The sequence below is a fragment of the Homo sapiens genome, chromosome 3 (assembly GCF_000001405.40).
Source record: "Homo sapiens chromosome 3, GRCh38.p14 Primary Assembly".
NCBI lineage: Eukaryota > Metazoa > Chordata > Mammalia > Primates > Hominidae > Homo > Homo sapiens.
Genome location: NC_000003.12, coordinates 152,952,051 through 152,963,611, shown reverse-complemented (window position 1 = coordinate 152,963,611; position 11,561 = coordinate 152,952,051).

The window sequence follows — 11,561 nt, the reverse complement described above, 5'->3', positions numbered from 1 at the left end:
AAACCTTTTTCTTCCTAGTCTCAGGTATGTCTTTATTGGGTATGAAAACGGACTAATACAGTCAACTGGTATCAGTAGAACGGGTGTTGCTGAAAAGATACCTGAAAATGTGGAAGTGATTTTGGAACTGGGTAACAGGCAGAGGTTGGAATAGTTTGGAGGGCTCAGAAGAAGACAGGAAAATGTGGGAAAGTTTGGAACTTCCTAGAGACTTGTTGAATGGCTTTGACCAAAAGCCTGATAGTGACATATATAATAAGGTGTAGGCTGAGGTGGTCTCAGATGGAGATGAGGAACTTGTTGGGAACTGGAGCAAAGGTGACTCTTGTGATGCTTTAGCAAAGGGACTAGCAGCATTTTGCCCTGCCCTAGAGACTTGTGAAACTTTGAACTTGAGAGATGATTTAGGGTATCTGGCAGAAGACATTTCTAAGCAGCAAAGCATTCAAGAGGTGACTTTGGTACTGTTAAAAGCATTCCATTTTAAAAGGGAAACAGAGCATAAAATTTTGGAAAATTTAAGGCCTGATGATGCAGTAGAAAAGAAAAACCCATTTTTCTGAGGGAAAATGTAAGCCGGCTGCAGAAATTTGCATAAGAAACAAAGAGCTGAATGTTAATCCCCAAGACAATGGGGAAAATGTCTCCAGAGAATGTCATAGGTCTTCATGCAGCCCCTCCCATCACAGACCCAGAGGCCTAGGAGGAAAAAGTGGTTTTGTAGGCCTGGCCCAGGGTCCCCATGCTGTGTGCAGCCTAGGGACTTGGTGCCCTGTGTCCCAGCTGCTCCAGCCATTGTTAAAAGGGGCCAAGGTACTGCTCAGCCCATGGTTTCACAGGTTGCAAGCCCCAAACTTTGGTGGCTTCCATGTAGTGTTGAGCCTGTGGGTGCACAGAAGTCAAGAACTGGGGTTTGGGAACCTCTGCCTAGATTTCAGAAGATGTATGGAAATGCCTGGATGCCCAAGCAAAAGTTTGCTGCAGGGGTGGGGCCCTAATGGAGAACCTCTGCTAGGGCAGTGTGGAAGGGGAATGTGGGGTCAAAGCCCCCACACAAAGTCCCTACTGGGGCACTGCCTAGTGGAGCTGTAACAAGAGGGCCACCGTCCTCCAGACCCCAGAATGATAGATCCACCGACAGCGTGCACTGTGTGCCTGGAAAAGCTGCAGACAACACCGGCCTGTGAAAGCAGCCGGGAGGGAGGCTGTACCCTGCAAAGCCACAGGGGTGGAGCTTCCTATGACCATGGGAGCCCACTTCTTCCATCAGTGTGACTGGATGTGAGATATGGAGTCAAAGGAGATCATTTTGGGGCTTTAAAATTTGACTGTCCCGCTGGATTTTGGACTTGCCTGGGCCCGGTAACCCCTTTGTTTTGGTCAATTTCTCTCATTTGGAATGGCTGTATTTACCTAATACCTGTATCCCCATTGTATCTAGGAAGTAACTAGCTTGCTTTTGATTTTACAAGCTCATAGACAGAAGGGACTTGCCTATGTACATGTATGTATACACACAAACACATATAGTTATGTACCACTGAACAACATTTCAGTCAGTGGCAGATCACATATTTAACAGTGGTACCAAAAGATTGTGTGTTTACGATACCTTTTCTGTTTAGATACACAAATACTTACCATTGTGTTACAATTGCCTGCAGTCTTCAGTACAATAACTATATAAATGACTGTAGTACTAAGTGTTACATAGTATGAGGATGGATGTTACAATGAATTGCTTTAGGAGATAACAGAAGAGAAAGGAGTATGTCCCTCTGGGCAAAGTGAAAAGATTTCGTGGAGAAGATGGCATTAGACTATTTGGTTTGTAGGCATACACATGGTCATAAGAGACGACATGACAAGCTGGGGAGAGGAGTACAGGCAATGTGTAAGAAGCAGTGAGCAGATAATTTTGCTGGAGTGTGTGTGGCCTCAATGGAAATAATAGGAAATAAGGCTGGAATGGTACTATAGCGAAAGCATCAACACTACTTCCATTTGGTAATGATTTACTCTGTGAAGGAAAGCAAATGAAGCATCTGGACAGATGCCTAAAAATGTGGAAATGTACTCCCCGGACTGGTTTGAGTTTGGCAACATGCTTTAGATTTGTAGACTGAGAGTTGTATTGATCAAGGTATTCAAGCACACAAGAAAGTGTAACCAGAATTTGGGTAAACTACCACCAGGTGGTAGCAGATATGCTGATTTCATGATCCAGATGACTGGATTTAAGCTGAGCCAGTTCAGAATTCTGTTTCCAGTCTCTTATGCATGTATATGTTTGTTTGCATAGCATATAATCATATCGAGACCCATATTTGTGTAAAATAATTTGCTTCAAACAATATAACAGCATCCATATTGACAGAAACAATACAACGTGTTTCTCTGTCAAACATTTTATTCTTACCTGCAGAATGTACAGGGATATAATCTAATCCAATGAGGAGGTTGGAAACTACTATTCCAGATATCATTTCAAATAAATAAGAAAATATACATCTTTATTTGGAAATCTTCTGCTTGAAAATTGAGGTTGGAAGCTGAGTTAAAACTGAGAGAGATTGGGGAGAGGTCAAGATTTGGCTTATTCACAGAGAGTGGGTGGAATATAAGGGCTTCAGATGGCAGGCAAATCTACTAGAGACATTGCTAGAGTCTTCTTAGATCATCTAACAATCCTTCCAACAGCCCTGTGAAGTAGAAAGTATTATCTCCGTTGAAACATAAGGAGACTGTAGTTCGAAGGGCTTAAGCAATTATCTAACTTATTTGTACAAATGAGTAACAGATCTGGAATTTGAACTCACCTCTGGCTTCCACTTCATGTCTTTGTTTTAATTTAGTTCTCACTGAGATTTAGCATTTCCTTCAGTTATGCATGTAGGTAACAAACAACGAATATAATTTATAGATATTTTCATATCAAATTAGTTATTTTATATATATATATAAAATTTTTGAGACAGAGTCTCATTCTGTTGCTCAGGCTGGAGTGCAATGGTGCAATCTCGGCTAACCACAACCTCCGCCTCCCGAGTTCAAGCAATTCTCCTGCCTCAGCCCCTGAGTAGCTGGGATCTATCCGCCACCACACCCAGCTAATTTGTTTGTAGTTTTAGGAGAGACGGGGTTTCACCATATTGGTCAGGCTTGTCTCGAACTCCTGACCTCAGGTGATCCACCCACCTTGGCCTCCCAAAGTACTGGGATTACAGGTGTGAGCCACCCCACCTGGCCATATATTGATATCTTGTATATTCCCATGACTACTTCCAAATCATTGTAGTGACTGGACTCACCACTACAGCTATTATTTATGCATTTACATTCTTGAGGCAGCTTTATGCTGCATTTTTATTTTAGAAGATTATACTATATGACATTTCAATGAATTGAGGCTCAAGAAGGTAAAGTATTGTGTATTATTTTCTTTTTTTCTTTTCCTGGGCTTTAACAGTGCAGAATTGTAGAATCACGATTTTTCATTCATTGTAAATTTAATTGACTTCATGAATCCAGCAGTTGCAGTTTGAAGATTTGTTATCAATATGACATTTATTCATTTGTAAGTGTTTTGTTCTTTCCCTCTGGAAGCTTTTAGAATTTTTTTCTTTTTTATGCTACTCTGAAATTTCACTATAAATGCCTCCTTATCTAATCTCTTTGGTATTCCTTGTGTCCTTTCAATCTGAACATATACATACACACACACATACTGTGTGTGTACGTGTGTGTGTGTGTGTATGCTGATCCAAGTGCTGAGTATTCATGTATATAGTCACATGGGTATATAGGCAACTACCACAAAGATGAAGGTATGGAATATTATCAGCAGACAAAAAGCTTTCTCATACCCTCTCACAGTCAATAGCCATTTGAAGGTAGTCATTGTTCTGATCTCTATCATTCTGGTTTAGTTTTGTTTTAAAAATTAATTTAAATGAATCACATAATATATACTTTTTTGTGTCTGGTTTCTTTTGTTCAAACTTATGTATGAGCAATTCATGCATTATTTATTCATCAGATGTTGGGTTCTCTAAAAACACATACTGGGCGGGGAAGAGAGTTGAACTGTGATGCAGGCTTGATAAAACCTCTGTTGAGTATTGCCCATCACAGCGTCCTACGCTGAGTTGAAATGGCTAAGCATTTACACCCTTCCCTACATATTCAGTACCTAGGTGTGAACTGCCCTGCAAAGGGCAGACCACAAACAAGGCAATTTGCAATTGAGGCAGTCCATGGAAGAGGTGGACAGGTGTAAGGTATCTGCTGATTGTTGTGACTGGTCAGTCAATTCTAGGGTAGGATTTTTAAAAAAGGAAAGAAATGGGCTGAAAATAAGTAATATGAATGTGAGATTAATATCCTACTGCTTTGAAATAAGTGAAAGCTTCTTTTTAAAATCCTTATAAAAGAAATATTTTTTTTGGAAGCTGCATCTGGGTAACACATTATCACTTTTTTTTTAGATGGAGTCTCACTCTGTCGCCCAGGCTGTAGTGCAATGGTGCTATCTCAGCTCACTGCAACCTCTGCCTCCTGGGTTCAAGCCATTCTCCTGCCTGAGCCTCCCGAGTAGCTGGGACTACAGGCGTGCACCTCATGCCCGGCTAATTTTTTTATATTTTTAGTAGAGATGGGGTTTCACCATGTTGACCAGGCTGGTCTCAATCTCCTGACCTCAAGTGATCTGCCCACCTCAGCCTCTCAAAGTACTGGGATTATAGGCATGAACCACCGCACTGGCCACATGATCACATTTTTGCTGTGTGATATTATATCATATGAATATAGCTTTACAATAGGTCTTGATTTCTGATAGTTTAAGTCTATAGTTTTATACTTCTTCAAAATTGCCTTGGCTATTTCTAACTTTTTGAATCTTCATATGAATTTTAGAATTACCACGTTAATTTTGACACATACAGCAAAATATACTGTCTGGGAGAAGTTAGTGCCTAAAAGGGGCTAATTCATCAGGGAAAATGTGTGGAAGCTGATGGAGACAATGAGCTGGATCCCATATAGCTGAGGTATGACTGCAGTGCACTCTAACTTCTCTCACTGAACTCTAGCACAGTTTAAACATTTTCACTGATTTGCATTAGTGGGTTTATTACAGCAGGGTTTGGTCTGCACAGTAAATATTTTGCAAGTTGTTATAGTTTTGTGTAGTGTTGTTATAACGGATAGAAATATTCAGATAGTCAGAATTTGTATGCTAAAGAAAACATGTATTCTATGATTACACACACATTTCTATCTCTTAATTTATACTTTGTGAACTATGTTTATTGGGAATGTATGGTGGAATTTTGTAATACATTTTATTCTGTTAATGCAGCTTTGGTGGACATTGTGAGCAGAAGCCTACAGAACCTAGTAATGAATGTAGCTAGCCATTTCATACTCCAGTGCCTACAGCTGAACACGGAGTAAGGAAAGTAAATGGTAGTTTAGTCTTCCTGGCTACTGTGTCATTTCCAGTTGGGGAATGTAATATGTTAAATTGAGTTGAGACACATTATTACACTGATGCATGCCTCCCTTGATTGTAAATAATAAATCTGTGGTATTTTAAAACAGTGGGACAATGCTTTCAATCTGGATAGAGTAAAATTTAGTATGGCAGCCAATATATGTTTAGTTCCAATTAAATACAAATAGAATCTTTGGTATTGTTAGAAGGCGCTTCTGACAATGAATTAAAGTGTAGATTAGGTAAATAAAAATGTATGTAATATAAACATAAATCTGTGTAGACAGATGTATGAGGGGACATGTGAAATGGTGAAAAGATGGAATTCAAAGATACTGAAGACTTGAATCTCAGTTCTAGAATCATGACTCACTAGTTATATTTGAAGAAGGTACTCAGTTACTTCATTAGCAAAGTGAAAGCTGTTTATGTAATCGCTTCACTTTGCTCAGGTCTTTGATAGGCACATATTTAGCAATGCTCCCTCACCTCCCATTTGCAGCTAATAATTGTATAGCTGTGAGCTGACCTTTGGTTCCAATTCTAATTTTTGGAGTAACTGGCTTTAAGGCTATGTTGAAAAGAATTCTGAGGTCTCCTCTGGGCTTGGTAAGAATGAGCGACATAATGGATAAATGATGTTTGCTTTAGACATGGGAGGAGGACATGACCATACATGAGCCACAGGTTGGCTTTCCCTGCTACATTTACTACTTCAGAACTACAGTAAGAGTAATGGTTTTTGAACTGGAAAACTTAATTACATAAACCAGAGGAAGATAAATTATCATTTGTTGGATACATTATGTATGATAGAAATTATAGTAATAATCTTTGGACCCTCCCCTTTCCTTTCTGCCACCAAGCTGGACTGGGACAAAGGTTTATAGTGATGTTAACACTATGTCTACCACTCTCTCATATGGGAGAGTCCTGAATGCATTAACTTAGTAATGTGACATTGGGGTAAACATTTTTCACCTGATGCAATTCAAACATTCCATTTTCTTCTTAACAGGGCTGATGTCCCAAAAGTCTTATTCTTTTCCATGCACCAAAAATCAAACCAAACAAAACCAAGAAAAAACACCCACAAAATTTTAAATAGCATTTAGCATTTCTTTAATGTCTCTCTAAGCACCAATTGTTCCCTTAGTGCTCCAAATGATGTTTCAAAAGCAAAGTTGCCAAAATACACAGGTGCTAAAGAGGTACAAGTCTCACTGCTCAAGTAAAAGATCCAATTTTATAAGGTTGAGTAAATACACACATGCTCTGAGACATAAAATCTACATTTTCAAGCCTCTCATTCCATAAATTGAAGATTTTAGCTATTTCTAATAGCTAAAGTAGAACATATCAAGGGACTAATTTTCCTCAAGAATAAAGAAGATTGGAAGAAAGTACTAAGAAAGCACACCAACATTCAAGCAAGTCACAATGATAATAAAAAGGAAAATGTGGGCCGGGCGCGGTGGCTCACGCCTGTAATCCCAGCACTTTGGGAGGCCGAGGTGGGCGGATCACGAGGTCAGGAGATCGAGACCATCCTGGCTAACACGGTGAAACCCCGTCTCTACTAAAAATACAAAAAATTAGCCGGGCGTGGTAGCGGGCGCCTGTAGTCCCAGCTACTCGGGAGGCTGAGGCAGGAGAATGGCGTGAACCCGGGAGACGGAGCTTGCAGTGAGCCGAGATCGCGCCACTGCACTCCAGCCTGGGCGACAGAGCGAGACTCCGTCTCAAAAAAAAAAAAAAAAAAAAAGGAAAATGTGAGGAGATTCAACAGCATGTCCTATCTAATGACTTACTTTGAGACTACTGTGAATTATATAAAAGACTCATCAAATCCTCAAGGTATTTATGGCTTTATTGGGTATATAAAATGTATGGCCTGGATTACTGAAGAATAATTAAATTACAAACAAGTAAAGGAAGATGTCCCACAGCTAATATTTTACATAGAAATCAAAGTTTTAATGATGTGTTAAACATTTAAGGGAGTTTTCACAGATCTACTGATGAAGACCTTGCCACATATTTAGTGATACCACATAACATGGAAGTTAAAAGTACATGTAAAGCCTGTATTCAAAGCATGGCTCCACAAACTAACAGTTCTCTGACCTGGATTAAGTTAAGTTTCTGAGCCTATTTCTTCACTTCTTAAATAGGCATAATAATAGTATCCAATATTCTAGAGTTTATGTATATTAAATGACATTTACTACAAGTAACATTTAATAAGTGTCTGCTGTATGCAAGACACTCCTCTGAGAGCCATGTAAAATAGCAATAACGAAAAGGCAGAACTCCTGCCCTCATGGACGGAATATTCTAGTGGGAACTTCATTAACTTAACCATTCATTCAACAAACATTCATTAGATGTGTATCTTGTTTCAAGAAGTCTGTCTCTACTTTTATGATGTTTACTTGAGAGGGCACACAATACACAAAGAGCACAAATGCTTGCAGATAAGTGCGAAGAAGGAAGAGAACAGGATGTTATGGGAGAAAAACAAGGGGGTTATTTTAATTTGAGTGGTAAGGAAGAGCTTTTCTGATAAGGTAATGTTCAGACCAATTTATTTTTTAAAAATCAGAAGGATCAAGACATGAAAAAGCAGAAGGAAAAGATTTCCAGCAGAAGGAAGGACATGGCAAATAGGTCCTTAAATGAGAAAGACTATGGTGCATTTCAGCTAAAGGAAAGTCAGTGCATCTGAGATAGAGCCAGTGAGTGCATGACTGAGTGAAAGGGAAAATGTTTGCATAGGCAGTGGCCAGATCCTTTCTATGCCATGTTTAGAGGTTTGGCTTTCCTTCTAAGTGCCATGGAAGGCATTTAGAAGTTTCAGGCAGGGGAGTAATATGATCCAATTTACCTTTTAACAAGACCACTCTGGCTGCTGTATGGAGAGTGGATTTAGGAGACAAGCCATATTTGGTTACTGAGAATAAGAGGCTGTTACAGAAGTCTAGGTAAACAGTCATGATTTATATGTTGTCGTTGTTGGTAGGTTCTGAAAAAAAAAGGATGAGTTTGAAATATGTTTTGGAAATAAAATTGAAATAGTGGGTTGTACTTTAGACTTGTTGGATGATCTAGAGTCTGGTCTAACCAATGGTACCAAGGTTTCTGGCTTGAACAGGGTAGATGACAGTTTCATTTGAAGTGATACGAAATACTTGGTACAATATGTGACATATGTTACCTGCTCAATAAATGGTCACTTTGAAAAGGTCACTGATAATGCACCTTAAGAAATCAATTCTTTTTACAAACCTTGCTTTACCCAGCAGTGTAGCACAGTGGCCTACAAACTTGCTACTCAAAATGAGGTCCCTGAACAGCAGAATCAGCATCACCTTGGAGTGTGTAAGAAATTTAGATGGTCAGGTTCTTTCCCAGATGTAATGAATTAGATTCCTTACTTTTATAAGATCCTCAGGTGATTCTTATGACATTCATGTTTGAGAAGTACTGGTCTAGTGTAGGGAATAGGAAACTATGGTCCGCAGGCTAAATCTGGCCCACTGCCTGTTTTTGTAAATAAAGTATTATTGGAACACATGCCTATTCCTTCACCTATTGTCTATGCCTACTTTTGCACTATAATGGCAGAGTTGAGTAGTCATGACAGAGGGTAGATGGCCTATAAAAACAAAAATATAGAAAAAGTTTGCCAACCCTTGGTCTAGTGCATTGCTTCTAAAGTAACATGAATTTTAATTCTGGCTCTTCCATTTACTAGGCTTATGACATTAAACACATTATGTAACTATTCTGTGCCTTAGTTTCATCTCTAAAATGAGGATAATAATGGTACTTACTTTGTAAAATGGCTATGGTGAAGAATAAATAATATAACAAGTAAATTGGCATATAGAAAACTCAACAAATATTAGCTATTTTTATTTTTATTTGGTATATAATTTAGCTTACTCATAAAAATGTGCTATAATATTATGATGAAAGAGGCCCTAAGGAAACATTAAGTTGAAAAGCCAATTGGTGTTTGTCATACTGACAATGCCTTCAGGAGAATTGCTGTGCTTTTAAACGTAGCTGTTGGGTGGAGACAGAAAATGGAGCAAAACATTAGCTCAAAATTTTCATGTCTTATTAATATCTGAACAAGAAATTTTTCTAGACTAGGGGTTGGCAAACTGTGGCCTGCAAGTGAACATAGCTTGCTGTCTGTTTTTGTACACCTATGGAGCTAAAATGGTTTGTACATTTGCAAAAGGTTATAGAACAAAACAAAGTAGCAAATAGTAGGTGACAGACTGTGGACCACAAGTTCTCATATGTTTACTATCTGGCCCTTTACAGAAAGAGTTTGCCAACACCTGTTCTAGACAAAAGAAGGTTCTTTATCTTTTATGTTTTCTTTTCTTTTCTTTTCTTTTTTTTTTTTTTTTTTTGAGACAGAGTCTCACTGTGTTACCCAGGTTGGAGTGCAGTGGTGCAATCTCGGTTCACTGCAACTTCCGCCTCCTGGGTTCAAGTGATTCTCCTGCCTCAGCCTCCCGAGTAGCTGGGACTACAGGTGCCTGCCACCACTCCCGGCTAATTTTTTGTATTTTTAGTAGGGACGGGGTTTCACCATGTTGGCCAGGATGGTCTCGATCTCCTGACCTTGTGATCCGCCCGCCTCGGCCTCCCAAAGTGCTGGGATTACAGGCGTGAGTCACTAAGTCCGGCCTATCATTTATGTTTTGAAATAAGCTCAGAGTTAAAAACTCATGTTTATTTTGTGTAAGTACCTTTTCCTCTTTTGGGTTGTTACATTGAGAGAATTAGTTTTGTTTTCTTTCCTTACATATGACACAGTCTGAACATCAGTGCCTTTTTAAAGGTTCATTCTCCTCTTCTTTTTTGATAATATCTCACTTGCCAAAAACCTGTATCTTTGTCACAAACTGTACCATTTCTTTTAATCACTACTGTAAAGATGAAATGCATGTCTAGTTGGTCATTATCTATTATGCAAATTGGTTGCATCTGAGTGAAGCTAGAGCGTTTTTAAATAAATGGCACTCTACTCAGTTTTCATTGTCTAATTGATCCCACCTTGGAATTTACCAAACCTAGCAAGGTAGTTAGAGTTCCCAAAGCTGCTTTTCAATAGACTAAAAGAGAAGACAAGCAGGCAGGCAGGCAGGAAAAAAGAAAGGAAAGAAGGAAGGAGAAAGCAGTGGACACTTTAGGATTGCTTCATTATTGCTTCAGCTGCATCTGCCAAAGCCCACCTGCTTCCACACTGATCTCTTTTTCAGTCTCTCAAGGTTCTGAGTTCAATTCATGTAAGAATCACATAAGGACAGTTTGCATGAATCTCAGAGACTGGCAAAAGCTGTTATGACAATAAATGAATCCACAATCTTTTCCAAGATACCCACAGACATTTCAACTATGGTTCTACCGTAATTTACATCAGGTCAGGTGTTGTCTTTTTTTCTTAAGGCTTGTGATTTTGTAGCTTATTTAGGGACTCTCTATCGGTAGAGATCTGCATAATTAATTTCCTAAATTTGCTAGTTAAAAAGTATGTGCATATTTAGAAAGAATGACTTGTAAAGAAACATATTTATTGAGAATAACTTTTGATAAATGCCATGTAAATTACCTGGGGTTCTTGAACAGTATTCTAAATAATTCAGTAATTGACAACATTTGGTCTAAGCTTTTAATGGTATTCTCATTAAACTTATAGTGAGCTTCTTTAAAAGTATTTCTCCTTTGTTCTTTACAAATTGCCTGATAATAGATATAAGTTGGAGATGCAGTTTTTGTCCCAGAGTACAACAGTAGAAATAATGAGTTAAATACAGGTGGAGGAAGATTCTGGCTTATGAGAAAAACTTCTAGAACTGCATTGTCTAGTATGGTAGCTGCTAGCCACATGTGGTTATTGAACACTTGAATATGGCTAGTTAGACTGAGAAATTAATTAATTTTTTTTTTTTTTTGTGACAAGATCTTGCTCTGTCACCCAGTCTGGAGTACAGTGGCACCATCATAGCTCACTGTAGCCTCGAATTCCTGGGCTCAAGTG